The 19,910-nt window shown below is 38.1% G+C and overlaps 1 protein-coding gene across 1 annotated transcript; it reads left to right on the plus strand.

The window, feature by feature from the left end:
• KLHL41 (kelch like family member 41) lies at positions 2,962–19,518 on the plus strand. The gene is made up of 6 exons (NM_006063.3): positions 2,962–4,148; positions 7,834–7,991; positions 8,114–8,221; positions 11,450–11,635; positions 14,121–14,267; positions 18,845–19,518. Exons 1-6 carry the CDS (start codon positions 3,039–3,041, stop codon positions 18,954–18,956), a joined length of 1,821 nt encoding a protein of 606 aa, NP_006054.2. The 5' UTR covers positions 2,962–3,038; the 3' UTR covers positions 18,957–19,518.

Here is a 19,910-nt window from a genome sequence, read left to right on the forward strand (position 1 = left end):
GGTTTAAATATCCCATGGCTCCTGGCCAGGCATGGTGGCTCGTGCCTATAATCTCAACACTTTGGGAGGCCGAGGCAGGCAGATCACTTGAGGTCAGAAGTTTGAGACTAGCCTGGCCAACATGGTGAGACCCGTCTCTACTAAAAATATAAAAATTAGCTGGGCGTGTGGTGGGCACCTGTAGTCCCAGCTACCTGGGAGGGGCACGAGAATCACTTGGACCTGGGAGGTGGAGGCTGCAGTGAGCCAAGGATCGCACCACTGCACTCCAGCTTGGGCAACAGAGCAAGACTCCATCTCAATAAATAAATAAATAAATAATCACATAGCTCCAAATGTAAACCAACTCTAATACAAATTGTAATCCTTAAACCTGTCATTTTTGTAAAAACTAAAAATTACAACTAACTCTGGAATACATCAACCCCCCCCTTTAAAGTGCTTTGGATGCTATTTTGTAAGAATTTCAATGTAGTTTTGGCAAGAATACATTTACTTTGTAAGAAAATAGCTTTGTTTATTAACTTTCTCTTTGTATTTATTGAAACTTCTTTGAATTTTCAAAAATAGGATATTATTTTTCTCATTTCTTGGTTAGGTAAGACTTGTTGACCTCTCTAGGATCATTCGGTGTTTTTGACCACTGTTTCCGTGTAAAACACATTGTAAGGAATCTTTTTCAAATAATTGAAATTAGCCAAAGGAGCCCTCTTCTTCCAGAGGGAAAAGTATGTAAAAACATTTAAAATAAGATGCAAGTCTGTGTACAACCATAGACATACAGTACAACCAAGTGCTAACCTAAGTTTATTAAAAATCAACAAAAGCTACAAATTGGCTTCTTCATTTAAATGGAAAAGGATTTCTACATTTTAAGGGTTGGAATTATAATAAACCACCTTTAAGACGAGGGGAAAGAATGTATGAAAAATTTGTACTGGTCACAGATAAAATGCTGCCATAACTATTGTTTAAATATTGTTTTTTTCAAGCAAAAGAGACTATAAAATTGCTGACTAGTAAGGAATAATCTCAAATGTCATATGATGTTTGCATCTGACTCATTAATCTTTTCAAATGTTAGATGTTACATGTAGAGAGAAATGAGTCATTTATTGTTTAAACAAGGAAGCAGCTGTTAGTTTTTTCTGGTGTGTTAAAACCTTTAGTGGCATCTATAAATGGAAAAAGAGTCAATGAGCTCTTCTTTCAGCTGTTGTTTTAGCAGCTGACAGTACCATTGACTTCACTGTGATGTAAAATAAAAGAAAAGGCCTTTACTCATGGATAGAGACCTTGAAGTTTAAAAATACATAATTCCTTGATCTGGGGCATTCATTCATTCAACAAATACTTATAAAGCACTCACGAAACCCCTACGCTATAGCATTTGAAAAGAACAGACACTCCCACAATCCCTGTCTTCATGGAATTTGTTTTTGGGGGTATGTGTAAAAATACCAACTTTTGAAATTACAGTATTTCTACAGCCCTACTTGAGTTCAGATAATGTGACAATATGACTGTGTAATAAAGTATTTAATGGGCCCAGTGCGGTGGCTCACACGTGTAATCCCAGCAATTTGGGAGGCCGAGGCAGGCGGATCGCGAGGTCAGCAGTTCGAGACCAGCCTGGCCAACATGATGAAACCCTGTCTCTACTAAAAATACAAAAATTAGCCAGGCATGGTGGCGGGTGCCTGTAATCCCAGCTACTCGGGAGGCTGAGGCAAGAGAATTGCTTGAACCCGGGAGGCAGAAGTTGCAGTGAGCCGAGACTGCGCCATTGTACTCCAGCCTGGGTGACAGAGCGAGACTCTGTCTCAAAAATAAATAAATAAATGAAAGTATTTAATGAAGTATATTATACCATCTATATATAAACAAAGGACCGATTTTCTTTCAAATCATTACTTCTACCTCCATAATTAATATGGTATTCTATTATAATCAACAGCCTACGTTATGTCCCCAGTTATATACTCTTTAAAAAAAGGGGGGGCTGTTCTCTATGACCATTGTAGGAGTTCATCTTGATTTTGCTGTGTTTAGTGATAACATTGTTCTCATGGGGTTATATCTGTTCTATTTTTCACGTTTTATTTAATGAATGATAATTTTTGATATTTAAAATTACAGATTATCTTTTGTGATCTTATTTGAATGTGTGTGGACTTTTTCGTTCCCTAGATTGACTTTTAATTATTTTTTCTGGCTCTGTGATTCCTTTTAACCTTTTGCTTTTATTTTACCTTATTATCGTTTGCCACATTAGATCATTTGTATGACAAGGCAGGATATGAATAAATAATTTTATAATTTAATTCAATATTAATTACAGTTTTTCCATGTAAGAATAATTTGGAATGTTTTAGAAAATTAGCAATTCCTCTGCATTTCTTTTTTCAATTATCATGGCAACATTAAAGGTTTTGTAAAACTAGTACAGAAGTAAACATCTTTAAGTTTACTACTTCTAAAAGAAATATCTATATCCCACTGTTCTGAGTAGAAAGTAAAAATTTGTATGTTAACAATTATTGGAAATGAGATCTTGCTTATGAGTATTCAAATGAACACATCTCATATTCTTGACCTTTGCATCATTAATTCAGAGAGCCAAGTAGCTTGACACTAGAACATATTTAGAGGAGTGACTCATTTTTATGATTCATTTTTCTGTTAATTCAATAAACATTTTCTTGTAGTAGCCTTTATTAGTATATCTTCTAATGTGTTATGTATTTTTAAGCTTTCAACTTCACTTAAATGTCTTGTTTCTTAGCTGTTTCCCTAGTGATTAAAAGTTCCAGTTGTTACTTTCAATCTATAACAGCTGCAAGAACAACTCTTCTTTCCAAGCCAGCTCTCCTAAATTCCCGTTGTTAGAGTTGGTATCTATATTTAGCTAGTGGGATTAAATTGCAAAGGCTTCAAGCTGGGCAAAGCACACTGATCTGCCTTTTTACAGCTAGACCTGTGTGCTGCAAGGAGCTAAGGCCTTCAGTGTCCCCTTCCTTACCCAGGTTTCTCACAGAATGGATTCCCAGCGGGAACTTGCAGAGGAACTGCGGCTTTACCAATCCACCCTTCTTCAGGATGGTCTAAAAGATCTCCTGGATGAGAAAAAATTCATCGATTGCACCCTAAAAGCAGGTGACAAAAGTCTTCCTTGCCACAGATTGATTTTGTCAGCTTGTAGTCCTTACTTCCGTGAGTACTTTTTATCTGAAATTGATGAGGCGAAAAAAAAGGAGGTAGTGCTAGACAATGTGGATCCTGCTATACTTGATTTAATCATCAAATACCTGTACTCTGCCAGTATTGATCTCAATGACGGAAATGTGCAAGATATTTTTGCATTGGCCAGCCGCTTTCAGATCCCCTCAGTGTTTACTGTCTGCGTTTCTTATCTTCAGAAAAGACTTGCTCCTGGTAACTGTCTAGCCATCCTAAGATTAGGACTTCTTCTTGACTGCCCGAGACTCGCCATTTCTGCCCGTGAATTTGTGTCTGATCGCTTTGTACAGATTTGTAAGGAAGAGGACTTTATGCAACTGTCTCCACAGGAACTGATCTCAGTCATTTCAAATGACAGCCTAAATGTAGAAAAAGAAGAAGCAGTATTTGAGGCAGTGATGAAATGGGTGCGAACAGACAAGGAAAACAGGGTTAAAAACCTTAGTGAAGTGTTTGATTGTATCCGTTTTCGCCTTATGACAGAAAAATATTTTAAGGATCATGTTGAGAAAGATGATATAATTAAAAGCAACCCAGACCTCCAGAAAAAAATCAAAGTTCTAAAAGATGCTTTCGCAGGCAAACTCCCAGAACCTAGCAAAAATGCCGCGAAGACTGGGGCTGGTGAGGTGAATGGTGATGTTGGTGATGAAGATTTACTTCCTGGTTACCTGAATGACATTCCCAGGCATGGAATGTTTGTAAAAGACCTCATCCTCTTGGTTAATGACACAGCAGCAGTGGCTTATGACCCCACGGAAAATGAATGCTACCTTACTGCACTGGCTGAGCAGATTCCCAGAAATCATTCCAGCATTGTTACCCAGCAAAATCAGATATATGTGGTAGGAGGACTATATGTGGATGAAGAAAATAAGGATCAACCTCTACAGTCATACTTCTTCCAGGTAAGAAGGACTTTTTGTATATGTAGTTGCTTAAAGGGAAGGCTGTTACTCACCATCCAGTTAGCCAATTTGTGAATTATTCAAGCTGCTTGCATTTTACTCTAATTGATGTCCTATTCCAGTCCCTTGCACTTTTGCTGTATAGAGCGTTGACAGAAAAATATTTGACTGCTTTGTTAATGTGTAATAAAAAGTTTGGTGAATAATGAGGTTCTAATTCATGTTTAATGACTTAAGATGTTCTTTATACTATTTTACCAAAAATGCCTTGTTTATAGATGATCGTGACTGTAATCCCTCAAAGCCCAGTATTTTAGTAAAAACTAAATTTATTTTTTCTTAGCAGAGATGGGCTCTCACTATGTTGCCCCGGCTGGTCTCGAACTCCTGGGCTCAAGCAATACTCCCAGTTTGGCTTCCCAAAGTGCTGGGATTACCGGTGTGAGCCACCACCCCCTGCTGTAAAAACTAAATTTAATCTTGTATACTCTTACCTATTAAAAATAGTTAATGTCTTTCCCCAAATAGTTTCCCTAAATCAAAGTTCTTATCCATTATAAAGAAGTAATAATTGGTCAGATTTTCTTTTTTAATTTCTTTTTCTTCTTCATCTGCTGGCAGCTCTAAATTGGTCAGATTTTCTACCTTCTTCCAAGTTTCCCTGAACTTCATTTGAAGTTCTTGGAGGTAGCACTTCATCTCTTATTTATGGTTACTGCCTAAAATATAATTTTGTTGAAAATGAAAAAAACTTGTATATATATTCCACACACTTTGGATTATCTTCTAGGAAAAACTGTCTACACAAAAGTCGCTAATTTGAATTAATTATAGTTAGAAATTTTTATTATATCACATTTATTTGGATCAGAGATACATTTAGACATTATTAGAACTTAACAATCTGTTTTGTGAAACCACAGAATTTTCCAAGAAAATTAATTCTCCTAAACCAATATACCCTTAGTTGTTTGAAAGGAATTTGTCTTATATTATCAATGTGTTATACTTTATCAGTTTATGAAGGAGTTGGCTTAACCTTTGTCTTCCATAATGCCAATACCGAAACTTTATAGCTTACAACTGGCTCAAAAGAGTTTGTTTAGGTCATAGCTAATCATGGCTGGGGCTTATGGGCACTTTAGTTGGAAAGGCCAAAGATAAGCAAGTATACAATGTCATACCACAGTCACAGTATGCTCTCAAAGTGTGTGATATACTTTGCATTCACAAAATACTATTATACCTTTAATCAACTTTTTCTAATCTTGAAAAATGTAGTTGTGATAATACATATTAATCATGTTTCTTAATTTTCAAAGTTCCAGTGAAGAATGTTATAAGTATTTGAATGTGGGTCAGAAAATTTCCCAAGCCCTAATTTTAAAGTCAAATAAACGTCAAAAGTGGCAAAGTCAATGAAAAAGGCTATAAATACATCCAGGAAGTAAGAATGTTATAAAAACACAGATAGACAGATGACAGACATATAGGTAGATACCTACAAATGACAGATCCACGGAATAGTTGTTGCCATGGAATGATTCTCCAAAATTACTGGAGTTTTAAATTTCATTTCATATTTAATTTATTGAATATATCTATAACACGGTCCTTTTTACTTTCAAGTGTTCAGTTTAATCTTTGTCCTCTTCCAGCCTAATAAAACCCTTACTTTTACTGACGCAGCTTCTCATTTTTGGTTCAAGAAACCTACTTAATGTTCTGTATAACAGAACATTAACAATAACAGTTATACAAAGTTGGAAGGTCAGCAAAGCAAATGCCTTGCTGCTTTTAAAAGGCACTAATAGAACGGTATGCCAGGATAAAAACACTTCACCATAAAAGAGGGTTGTGACTCATCAGACAATATTTACATGAGAATTTCAGGTTTTATATTTTTCTGCTTGGTCACATCTATTTAAAATGCATTAATTTAGGAGTAATTTGACCTTTGATTGTATGCTGTAAATAGATTATGAGAATTTTTTACCTTGGTAAGGGAGGATTTTTTCCCCCACTCATTAATTTGAATTAATAGATTCATCAAATCTTTGAACAGGTCTTAAAGTAATCTAGGTCCAAACCCTAATTTTAACAATGAGGAAAGTTGAACTCAGAGAAGTTAAATAGCTTGATAGTTCCTCTATAAAAGAGACTGGTAGGTAGTCTACTGTTCCATCTGCTAGAGAAAGTGCCCTCTAACAGGTAATATGGGAAGGTAGGCAGTACTGTACAGTATGAGAGTTAAGCCCACAGGTATGGGATTATGATGGCTGCTGTTTCCATTTTTTAAAACCAACTGTGAATGTACATGGCTTGGATTTGAATATCACCTAAAAGTTCTGTGTATTTGGGAAAATTATTTAATCTTCCTGTGCCTCGGTTTCCTCATCTGTAAAATGGGGATGATAGAAATGCCTATCCTGGAGAACTAAATGAGGTTACCTGTGTAAAGCATTTAGTTCAAAGACTATGACAACAGTCAAAACCCCATAAATGTTCATTATTATTTCTACTATATTACATACCACCTTCATGATCAAAGAATTTCTTTCAAAAGTGAAAACATAAGGGATCAAAATCTAGCTGTTGAAATTAGTGAATGCAAAGCTAAGAATGCACATGTGGAGATTAAACTTCTCATGTCATCTAGTCTTAATTAGCGCTTTGTTTAACTGAGGTTACTAGACCACATATAGATAGGCTTCCACAGACACCCCTGTCTATACCACAGCCATTTGTATGCACATCTATTCTTAGTATCCAGTGAAACTGGGTTTTATTCATTTTATTTTTGCAATCTAGAAGTGGTACCAGAGAGAACAACAAATCTGCAACTGTACTCTTGCAGAAAACAGTTTTCTTGTGCCTTAGTGTGCTAAAATGAAAAGTGTAAAATATTTAAATTACCAAAAGTAAGTGATGAAACAGATGCCACCATCATCTACCCCAGGGCATGGGCACAAGGAGATTTTCCTCCTTGGGAAAATCTTAAGCTTGCAGAAGTGGTGGTGACCAAAAATGAGCAGTTACTTATTAATATAAATTTTTTAAAAAAGAGAAGAGTATTTCAAGGGACTCCCAACAACACACTAGGAAATTCACTTTAACGCCTGCCTGTATCAGGAATAATAAAGCAAAACACAGAGAACCTAAAATGTTTTTAAAGAAAGAAAAAAAGATATTGCCCAACATCCCAGTTGTTTGTGGACTGAGTGACAGGTCCAGCTGTCCCAGCTGCCGGCATGGGGAGCATGTTAAATATAGCACGCAGGGGTCATTCACATTCTGTGACCCTCCTTGTTATGACAACCTTTCTTTCCCCAGTGTCCTAAAAGTATGAGGATCTCCTGTTTCAAAGCTGAACAAGGCAATATGGGAGAAAATTTGACAAGAAACCTCACAGTTGTAATTAACCTCTGGTGATTCTATTTTATTTTTTCTTTTCTTGAAGCCTTGAAGATTTTGATATCTTTATCTGGTAGGCCAAGTAGATTTACTCATTCTTCTTGGTAATTATGAGCTACAATGTGATACTTTGGGGTTGTAGTTTTATTTACTTGTGAGATATTTGACTATCTCGATGACTTCTAAACAACATATAAAGTATAACTTTTTTTGGTGTACTTCTAATTTTTTTCTAACAGGCTCCACAATCTCTCATATATGTTTTTTTCAGCTCGATAGCATAGCATCTGAATGGGTTGGACTTCCACCTCTGCCTTCAGCCAGGTGTCTCTTCGGTCTGGGAGAGGTGGATGATAAAATCTATGTAGTTGCAGGCAAAGACCTTCAAACAGAGGCTTCGCTGGATTCAGTATTATGCTATGATCCTGTGTAAGTTGGCATGATATTCCTGTTCCCTAAGCATTCAAGTATATGCGTGCCTACAACATATTCATATTTTCAGAACCTGGAATTTACTGAAGGTATATAAATTCTGTCTCGTTTAATTTTAGGGCTGCAAAATGGAACGAAGTAAAAAAACTCCCTATCAAAGTCTATGGCCATAATGTGATTTCACATAAAGGGATGATATATTGTCTAGGAGGAAAGACAGATGACAAGTAAGTACCCTGAACTCTCATGATTTATGTCTAAATGACTTTTTATTAGAAGGGTTTCTTCCTCTTTTCTTTTCTTTTTTTTTTTTTTTGAGATGGAGCTTCACTCTTGTTGCCCAGGCTGGAGTGCAGTGGTGTGATCTCGGCTCACTGCAACCGCCGCCTCCTGGGTTCAAGCGATTCTCCTGTCTCAGCCTCCTGAGTAGCTGGGATTACAGGCATGCTCCACCACGCCTGGCTAATTTTGTATTTTTAGTAGAGACAGGGTTTCTCCATGTTGGTCAGGCTGGTCTTGAACTCCCGACCTCAGGTGATCTGCCCGCTTCAGCCTCCCAAAGTGCTAGGATTATAGGTGTGAGCCACCACGCCCGGTCTCTTCCTCTTTTCCTTTGGATCTGCACACTAAAATGGGACATGGTTCTCACCTATCATATTGTGGAGGGAAAATCTTAAAATTTCAAGTCGCTGAAGTAAACATGTAGATACTCAGCATACTGCTAGGAATGAGCCTAATACCCCAATCATAAGCATCCTTACAGTCCAGGCAGTATCTAGGAGCATAATCAAGTCCTGTATTTCACTGATTTATAATTGTATTTTACTACATTAAAACCAATGGGTTTTCTTATTCATTTAGCCATAAGTAGATAAAAATTGAAAGGTATCTTTAATGTAGTATTTAAAATATATCTTCTAAGACAACTGTGCATAAAAAATATCATGGATTTGTACTTTACATTCATAAGAGGGACTTTAGATAGGTCAGTTTGAAAGAAAAGCGTGGTGATTGAAAAGAGGGAAGTAAAAAAGACAAAATAAAAACAAAAAATTAAGGCAATTATTTCCTCAGCAGTGTTCTTCCACATATTTACTCCCTGACAGAGGTAATATTCAAAATGGCTTCCAACTGTTCAAAACTGAGCTCCCAGTAGCACCCAGTATCTTGTGAGAAAACCAGGATGAGGTTTCATATATAAACCTAACTTGATTTCCAGTCAATTCTTAAGGAACCTGTAATCAGGAAAGAGATGTTATAACCCAGAGAGAGGAGAAGTGAGCTCCGAATGCTTCAGAGACAGTCAAACCAGTATAACCTGTCTAGTAAAATAAGCATTTTCAGTTTAGATGGTGAGAACTAATATTCTGCCCCTGAAAAATCTGCCTGATTTGGCTTGTCATCATTTGCCCAGGCCATTGAATTAATAGTGATGTCCAACCCTGAAAAGGGAGCCAAAATTTAGAATTGTAAGGGCAAAGCAGGAAAGGAGAGTAAAATATAGAAATGTGTTAGATGTCAAGAACTCTATTCTGGAGTTAATGATTATTGGGTATTAGTCAATTTAAATGGTAAATATAGCACAGAAAAGGCGATTTTAAAAAGCAATGGTTTTTAAACATCTACCTGTATTCAAAGATAACATATTCTAAAATTTTTATATCCTCCCTAATCCCAGCTATTCCTATCAAATTTAAAGGAAGGTATATTATATGCTTACCTGGTGCCAGATCTTATTTTGGGCATTTTTCCTGAGTAAACTGAATGGAAAATCACTACTAAAGAGCATTCTGACTTTGGAAACACAGGAACCCTGCCAAATGATTTAAATTGTTTCCTTCAAGCAGCATTAGTAACTAGGAAATTGATATGTCAGTAAGAAGCATACAGTTCTTGTCAGTAGGAATATATCAATCTTGAGAATATGATTAACTAACACAACACTGCTTGACAAATGTCAAAGTCAAGAACTTTGAAATGAGTCATTATCTAAAAGTAAGTGCTGGGCTGGGTGCAGTGGCTCATGCCTGTAATCCCAGCACTTTGGGAGACCGAGGCAGGTGGATCACCTGAGGTCGGGAATTTGAGACCAGCCTGTCCAACGTGGAGAAACCCCGTCTCTACTAAAAATACAAAATTAACCGGGCGTGGTGCCGTTTGCCTGTAATCCCAGCTACTAGGGAGGCTGAGGCAGGAGAATCACTTGAACCCGGGAGACAGTGAGCTGATATCGCGCCACTGCACTCCAGCCTGGGCAACAAGAGCGAAACTCCGTCTCCAGAAATAAATAAATAAATAAAAGTAAGTGCTGAATTGCACCAGTTCCCACTAATGAATTTGAAGAACGTGATTTTGGATAATGTTCTTATCAAGAAGTGTTCAAATGATACCAATAGTCAAATATTAGAGGAAATGCTTCTACTCCAGATAACTGGTCTTTTACACAATTAAGAAAAAAATTGTCCTCACAAAAAAGTTAAGGTGTTTTTCATCACCAAATATATCCAGTTAATCAATTATTATTTGAAATTCTGAACTCCCATCAAATTATAGATAACTTCAAGGAACCATAAAAAACATACTAAGGGCGGGGCATGGTGGCTCACACCTGTAATCCCAGCACTTTGGGAGGCTGAGGCTGGAGGATCACTTGAGCTCAGGAATTCGAGACCAGCCTGGCCAACATGGCGAAACCCTGTCTCTACCAAGCATACAAAAAACTAGCTGGGTGTGATGGCACATGCCTGTGTTCCCAGCTACCTGGGAAGTTGAGATGGGAGGATCACTTGAGCCCTGGATGCGGAGGTTGCGGTGAGCCAAGATCGCACCACTGCACTCCAGCCTGGGTGGCAGAGTGAATAATAATTCAGATGAGTCCAGGTCTTTCTGGTAGCATTTAGCATGTAAAACTGTTGTCATGATTCATCAGCTCAGATGATTTGTTGTCTAATCCATAGTCCCAGATTTCTTAAAATGCACTGGTATGTTAGTGCTAATATAAAATAAAATGATCTATCATATAAAATTTAAAGTAGGTATATTTGCACCTAATTATTCTTTAAGTTAACTGATTCGTTCCTAGGATATTCAGATAATAAATAAACTTACCATTTGTTATTGAGGTGCAATAAAAGGTTTATGATTTTATTTTTTACTCAAATAGAGTAAAAAAACTTCAATTGAATTTAGTAGATACGATTAAAATCAGCTGTGCCTGGGGTTCTAAGCAGCTATCCAGAAGTAAAGGTACCCTATCTTCCAACAGTAAAATTAAGTTATAGTTTTGGTCCCCACATTTGGGCTTGTCCTTTGTTTAGTGGCATATGTTCAAATTAAGAATTCTTTGGAGTTTTCTGATCCTACTATATATTTTTCATGACAAGCAAAGCCAAATTATTAGTGAAGGTGCTGTCAAAAAAAGGTTCTAAAAGGAACATTTGTTTTTCTGTTTACAGAAAATGTACAAACAGGGTGTTTATCTTCAACCCCAAAAAAGGAGATTGGAAAGATCTGGCTCCAATGAAAATTCCTCGTTCCATGTTTGGAGTAGCAGTCCATAAAGGCAAAATTGTGATTGCAGGAGGTGTCACTGAAGATGGTCTTTCAGCTTCAGTTGAAGCTTTTGACCTTACAACAAATAAGTGAGTTGCCACATCTTAGTATATAGCATGTGAACAACTATACATTTTAATTGTTAACTTTGGATAAAAAGTTATCTTTCTAATTAGGATGTGGGGAGGGGAGGGTACAGAGCCACAGATTACAAAGGAAGTATTTTCATCTGGGTTTCTTTTGTTGTTACTGGATGTAAATCTTGTCTAACATTCTGATGCATTATATGTCTGTAATCTGGAACACATGACCCTTAAGTCAGTGTTGTCATGCTCTATTTGTCCTTGTTATTAACTTTGTGAATTTAGAAATGCAAAGGTAATACTTGTGAATAATTATGATTATTTTTAAGAGACAAGGTCTGGCTCTGTCACCCAGGCTGGAGTGCAGTGGCACAATCATAGCTCACTGCTGCCTCAAACTCCTGGGCTCAGGTGATCCTCTCACCTCAGGCTCCTGAGTAGCTAGGACTACCACTATGCCCAGCTAATTTTTGTTTTTGTTTTTGTTTTTGGTACAGACAGGGTCTCACTATGTTGTCCATACTGGTCTCTAACTCCTGGCCTCAAATGATCCTCTCACGGTGGCCTCCCAAAGTGCTAGGATTATAGGTGTGAGCCAGCACACCTGGCCCTGAATAATTGTCTGTGTAGATGGATATACATGTCTCTGTGGAATCATTTGATTTTAAATGTAGTTTCTTTATGAAAAGATCTTCACTTAACTTGTTAATGATTGATATCTGTAAAGTATGAATGCTTCCCAAGTTTTCATTCCTTTACGCTGTTTATAATTTTATTAAAAATTTCATTTTTAAGCTTTTATTGACTTAATGTGAAAAGATATTTGACAGCTATTCTTCATATAAAATTGGTCTTTTTAAAATTTTTGAGCTCACACATCTGGATGAGTATGTACCTTTTATATTCCTAGTTTAGCAATGAAGAAAAAAGAGAAATATTATTACTTTTTTTAGAAACATGTATGCCTGACTACAAAACAGACTTTAGTATCTGAAAATTACAAGGAACTTTTGTGGAACACTATTTAAATTATCATTAAAAATAATGTTTTCGAAGACTGTAATGTGGGTAAACACTCATGATGTAAGTTAAGAAGCAACACACAAAAATTGTAAATATCTTCTTAGTTTCATTTATATGTATGGAAGCTTAAATGTACATGCTTTTTAAAAAGATGACAAAATTACACCAAATTGTTGCTTGTGATTATGTCTGTAAGGTATGATTATGGAGATATCTGCTCTCTTGTATACCTTTCTGTACTTTCCAGATTTTCTCAAACTTTTTTTTTTTTTTTTTGAGACAGGGTCTCACTGTGTCACACAGGCTGGAGTACAGATTTTCTATAATGTACATATATTATTTTTATAATTAGAAAAAAATCGGCTAATTTTTTGTATTTTTAGTAGAGATGGGGTTTCACCATGTTGGTCAGGCTGGTCTCGAACTCCTTACCTCAGGTGATCCACCCACCTAGGCCTGCCAAAGTGCTAGGATTACAGGCATGAGCCACCGTGCCCGGCCTTAGGGTTGCCATATTGAAGGCTTTATATTTAATGAAGTTACATCTTTCAAATATTTTCTAGTAGCAAACTTAGTCATTTACTTTTAGATGCCTGTGCTCCTTGAATTTTTTTTTCCCCCCTTAAAGACAGGGTTTTGCTCTATCACCCAGGCTGGAATGCAGCAATGCGATCATAGCTCACCGCAGCCTTGACCTCAAGGGCTCAAGAGATCCTCCCAAGTAGCTGGGACTATAGGGACATACCACCAGGCCTAGCTCTGTGTGTGTGTGTGTGTGTGTGTGTGTGTGTGTGTGTGTGTGTGTGTGTGTGTGTGTAGACAGTCCATTTTGTTGCCCAGGCTGGTCTCATACTCCTTGGGCTCAAGCTATCCTCCTGCCTCAGTGTGTGTGTGTGTGTGTGTGTGTGTGTGTGTGTGTATGTGTGTGTGTGTGTGTGGAGGCAGTCCATTTTGTTGCCCAGGCTGGTCGCATACTCCTTGGGCTCAAGCAATCCTCCTGCCTCAGTCTCCCAAAGTGCTGGGATTACGGGCATGAGCCACCGAACCCAGCCGCTACTTGAATATTTATTTTTTATTTAGATGGAGTCTCGCTCTGTTGCCCAGGCTGGAGTACAGTTGCACAATCTCAGCTCACTGCAACCTCCGCCTCCCAGGTTCAAGTGATTCTCCTGCCACAGCCTCCCAAATAGCTGAAATTACAAGTGCGCGCCACCGTGCCTGGCTAATTTTTTGTATTTTTGGTAGAGGTGGGGTTTCACCATGTTGGTCAGGCTGGTCTCAAACTCCTGACCTCAGGTGATCTACCCGTCTCAGCCTCCCAAAGTGCTGGGATTACCGGCATGAGCCACCGCGCCTGGCTGCCTGGCCACTACTTGAATTTTTAAATTATTATTTCCTATAATTATTCAGTAAGTACATCTGGCATTTCTTTAAGTTTTACATTGACTATATTTTTAATGATACCTAGATGGGATGTAATGACCGAATTTCCCCAAGAAAGAAGCTCCATCAGTTTGGTCAGCCTGGCTGGATCTCTGTATGCAATTGGTGGTTTTGCTATGATTCAACTGGAGTCTAAAGAATTTGCACCCACTGAAGTCAATGACATATGGAAGTAAGTTCTCATCACTTCAATTTTCAGAATCACATATTAAATCAGATGACTGATAAACTATTTTGTAGTAAACAATAAGCCAGATTTTCCCAACATGCAAGCTACTTCTTGGTAGTAGACTAAACACTTCAAACCTAATTGAACTTCTGTACATGCCACTTACTTGAACAAGTATCTACTTCTAGTTAGCTCTGAGCCTGAGAAAGAAATCATCTGGGCAGGCCTGTTTCTTACTGTAAAATGAGAGTTGGACCTTTGATACTCTCAGTTTCATTCCAGCTCTAAGAGTATAATGCTATAGGCATCCAGTAGAGTGAAAGCCTCTTTGCTCCAGAGTAGTTTATTTCCTAACAAAACAGAGTTCTAAAAAAAATTTTATGTTTTTTACTTTTTTATTTTTATTTTTTTGAGACAGAGTTTCTGTCACCCAGGCTGGAGTACAATGGCGGGATCTCAGCTCACTGCAACCTCGGCCTCCCAGGTTCAAGTGATTCTCCTGCCTCAGCCTCCCGAGTAGCTGGGATTACAGGCATATCCACCACGCCCAGCTAATTTTTATATTTTTAGTAGAGACGGCATTTCGCCATGTTGGCCAGGCTGGTCTCGAACTCCTGACCTCAGGTGATCCACCCGCCTCAATCTCCCAAAGTGCTAGGATTACAGGCGTGAGCCACGTACCCAGCCTAAAGAAACATTTAACCTCTTGAGCTTTCCACTACTTCATTAGTTCTGTTTTCAATCTAATTTAAACAGCTTTCCAATTGTTTTAGGCTTCAGCTAATAAATGCTTTTTTAAAATGAAAAAAGTCAAAATAGCAATCCATTTTACCTGCCTGGAGGTGCCAGGCAGTTCTCCTAAGTATGACACTTGAAACTGTTACTCAATTGAACATTTTAGTGAGGCTATTAAAAAAAAAGTTTGTTTTTATTTTATTTTGAACTGAGATCGCGCCACTGCACTCCAGCCTCAGCTACAGAGCGAGTCTTAAAAGAAAAAAAAAAAAAGAAAAAAGAAACACAGAATCCCAGACCCTACTGAATGAGAATCTGTATTTTTTAACAAGATTCTTAGGTGAATTGTTTGCACATTTAAGTTTATAAGTACAGCTTTGGAAGAGTGCCATTTATACTTAATCAGTGAAGGCATACCACTAAGCCTGAGAGTGAAAAGTGGGTATTATTTGTTCTATACCTTAACCAGCAGATGCTTTATTCCCAGATGCTGAACTAAAAAGGCTGAAAAGCTGGTACCTTAACCAAACAATGATTTGTGCATTAGACATCATTTCCCCATGTTGTAATATTAACTAGCTGTGTAGAGGGCAAGAAAAAAAGTGGCTATGCAAGGAAATTAACTACTTTCCCTCCTCCCCCCAAAAAAGAGGGAGAAAGAGAAAAAAAATGAGATTTCCACGGAGCAAAGAGGCTAGAATTAGCAAAACAGTGAGATGGGGAAAAGCTGGAAGCAGTAGGAAAAAAGGATGAACTAATGAAGGCCGGGAAGGTTAGGGTTTTTTGGAAAACAGGGCCAGGTACCAAATATATAAATGGGCAGTGATTCTCAACCCTAGCTGTATGTTACAATCATCTGGGATGCTTTTAAAATATACCAGTGTCTGGGCCTTAACACAGACCAATTATATCAAAATTTCTGGAGGTAGAGTTGAGCATCCCTAGTTCCTAAAACCTTCCCAGTGATTTTTTTTTTTTTTTTTTTTTTTTTTTTTTTTGGTGAGACAGAGTCTCACTCTGTCACCCAGGCTGTAGTGCAGTGATGTGATCTTGGCTCATTGCAACCTCCAGCTCCTGGGTTCAAGCGATTCTCCTGCCTCAGGCTCTGGAGCAGCTGGGACTACAGGTGTGCACCACCATGCCCGGCTAATTTTTGTATTTTTAGTAGAGATGGGGTTTCACCATATTGGCCAGGCTGGTCTTGAACTCCTGACCTCAGGTGATCCACCCACCTCAGCCTCCCACAGTGCTGGGATTACAGGCGTCAGCCACCGAGCCCAGCCCCAGATGATTCTAATCAGCAGCCAGGGTTGAGAAACACTGATATTAAGTAATTGTGCTGTCAATCAGTGGGACCTCCCTGAAGCCCTCCTGGTTCCTAAGGGTTATCAAAAGCCATGCTGCCCCTGCAGGGAACAGTTACAGGCAGCAAAAGAAAGTACAGAATCTCCTGCTATAAAAGTGGCCCTGACATTGTTTAGGGAACCTAAAAGAGGGATCCTCTCTGATTGTGGTTTATTTTGCGATTAGAGCAGTGGTTCCCAAAGTTGCCTGCACGTTCGAATCACCAGGGTGCTTCAAAAAATATTAACACCTCTATCCCACTTATATTGACTGCAATTTAATTGGTCTGAAGTATGGCCTGGGCTTTGGAAATTTTAAAAGATCCATGGATGTTTCTATATGTGTAGACAAGTTTGGGAACCACTGGATTGGGTAAAGAGAAGAGGGGGGCATTCATCACTATCTGCTTGGCTATTTTGAGACTGGTATTTCCTAATTTGGGGTAGGATCTGGAGCATGATTCTCAAACTTTGCTGCATATTAGAAACACTTGGGGAGCTTTAAAAAATCCTGATGCCCAGGCCACCCTTCATACCAATTAACTCAATCTCTGAGAGTAGGACCTAGGCATCAGTATCTTTAACATCTCCAGCTGGTTCTATTGGCAATTAAGTTTGAGAACCTGTAATCTACTACAGTGGTTCCCAAAGCAGCATCAGCCTCACCTGGGTACTTATCAGAAAGGCAGATTCTCAGGTCTCACTTCAAATCTGTTAAATTAGAAACTCTGGGGGTGATAGGGCCAGCGATCTGTGTTTGCACAAACCCTCCAGGTGACTTAGATGTGTGTTAAAGTTGAAGGCCGCCGATCTAGAGAAACGTGGCTGCCTATTTGCCCTCAATTTCCTAGTGAACCTCCCTAACCACACATGCAGAGGTGAAAACTCTCAGTATACAACATTCTCAACATAGACCCTCTTACTATACGTAAAAAAAAAATTCCATTCTTGTATTTTTTTCTTGAAATCATTCCATTATTTAGGATTGACCAAGCTGAAAGTAAATATAACTGCCAGGAAGCAAACATTTTTAAACCTCATTTAACCTTAACCTCATATTGTTTAAATGTGGTCACTTTCTTTAGGTCATTTAAAACTATTATTTATCTCTTAATTTGTTGCCCTGAATTTTATGTAATTAAGGTTATTCCCTTTATTAGTAGCAAAATATTTTTTGTATGCTTTCCTCTACATAAAAATCAGTGCATGGTACAATTATTGAGAACTAATTTGGAACATTGATGAAATTAAGTCAGAGCATGTCTTATGTAGGTACAAGCTAATTTTAATAATTATTTTAAATCTCCATTCATCACAGAATGATTTGGGGTAAATCTTTTTTTTTTTTTTTTTTTTTTGAGATGGAGTCTTGCTGTGCAATCTTGACTCACTGCAACCTCCGCCTCCCGGGTTCAAGCAGTTCTCTTGCCTCAGCCTCCGGAGTAGCTAGGATTACAGACGCACACTACCATGCCTGGCTAATTTTTATATTTTTAGTAGAGACGGGGTTTTGCCATATTGGCCGGGCTGGTCTCAAACTCCTGATCTCAGGTGACCTGCCCCCCTCGGCCTCCCAAAGTGCTGGGATCACAGGTGTAAGCCACCACACCTGGCTGATTTGGGGTTGTCTTGTGCCAGGTCTTGACAATTTGTGGAGAGATATTAATATATTATTTGTCCTCAGATGCCTTTGAGGCTTGAGGACATTGATATGGGGGGGGGAATTAAAATGGAGTGATAATTGCTATAATACCATATAAAGGATGATATGAGAAAGAGAAAGCAACAAACTGTGCTTAAGGAAGGTGAGAAAGGTTTCAGAGAGAAGGCGGCATTTAGAAGCTTCCCACACAAAGAAAATATTCCAGGCACCAGGCAGAGCAGACATGTTCAGCACACATCGTACAAGGGAATTCAAGTTATCTGTATCTTTATAACCTTGAATATTCAGAGATGAAGACCAGTTCTTACCTAAGTCAAGTGCAAAGTCTAAGAGTAGTCCTCAAACAGAACAATAAAGGGGAAGGGGAACAAATTTTCATAAAGTGACAGCTGTGTATCAGGTGCCATGCTAGGCACTAGTGTATAGGAACAATTGAAGGCATAATTAAGTCTACCGATAGTCCCTGCTCTTCCTCAGTTCTTTCTCTTAAGCAAGAGTCTGCTTACTTTGACTCAGAGACCAGCCATCTTCATCAATTCAAAGGTGAATGAATGTTTAACTGCTTAGCTATTTATTCCTCTTCTCTGCAGTCTTTGATTCCCAGAGAATGCTGAACTGCCTAGGCATCCAGATTAAATACTGTGGCAGTAGTTCAGGCACATGCTCATCCAGACAATGCATATTTGGGAGATATTTAAGTTCTGTTCTACCAGGCAGGTGCATCTTCTTCTGAGTAAGAGCCACTAGGGTTTTTTCAAAGATCCACATTTGTATTCTGAACACAGGGAAACCTATGGAACTAAAGCTGCTTATTGATTACTTTTTTTTTCCTCCATCAGGTATGAAGATGATAAAAAAGAATGGGCTGGGATGTTGAAGGAAATACGTTATGCTTCAGGAGCTAGTTGCCTAGCAACACGTTTAAATCTCTTCAAACTGTCTAAACTGTGAACAAGGTGACAAAACATAATAGATTGGGAGGTGGTTTGTTTGGTGAATGGGGCTTTAATTTATTCTGTTTTTTAAAAGCTTGTACAGACACTCATGTAGAAATTATTCAAGAAGTTATTGTCTAAGAGATGAGCAGTAGGTAAGAAAACCTCAGTCATTGACTCTTCAATGTAATGATCAGAGTTTAAAACCATTTTCTAATAATAAATTAAATCTTCAGTTGAACAAATTATTTTGTGAATCTGTTTCACTCAATGGATTGTAAAGAAGGCTCCTAAATTTGAGTTGTTTGCTAATCATTTCATTTGCATCATTAGGGTATCCTTAAACTGATTTTCTATTACAATTGGAAGTGGAGAATATGTGCATCTACACTAAAAAAATGTTTAAGATATCAAAAACCTCTCCTCGTGCTTCAAAATGACAGGAATCCTGTGCATTATACTAAGAATTACATGCCATAAGATGACTTCAGAAATCCTACTTCAGAAGTGTAATAAATGGATGGGGAAATCGTTTGATGGGGAAAAGTCTCTTGTAAGTAAAAGTAGTCAAATTCAAATGGCCTTTTCTCTCCATTCTTTTTGCGACACTGGCGTATTATTTGTGGTTTCCAAATCAAATTTTTAAAATTTTAATTTAAAACCAGTAAATCACAGTCTTCAAGCCATTAACTACAGCATCTGTGGCAGGAGGGTGAGGGAGCACCCTTAGGAAATGGATTGATTCTTTAAACTGCTGGGACAGCAGTTGGGGTCAGTGGGTGATGTGGAGGAGGAAGTGTATTCACTGGTTTAAATTTTGGCTACACTCCATGAAAGGGCTACCTATTTGCTAAATTTCTGACAGCAAGGAAGGTGACTGTATTATTTCATTTTCTGGGATGTGATATCCTCCATTCACTGTTCCTTCTTAGTGCATATAGTAAGTTGACTCCTCAATCTGCTCATAACC

Source organism: Homo sapiens, chromosome 2 (genome assembly GCF_000001405.40).
Source record: "Homo sapiens chromosome 2, GRCh38.p14 Primary Assembly".
In the NCBI taxonomy this organism is placed as follows: Eukaryota; Metazoa; Chordata; class Mammalia; order Primates; family Hominidae; genus Homo; species Homo sapiens.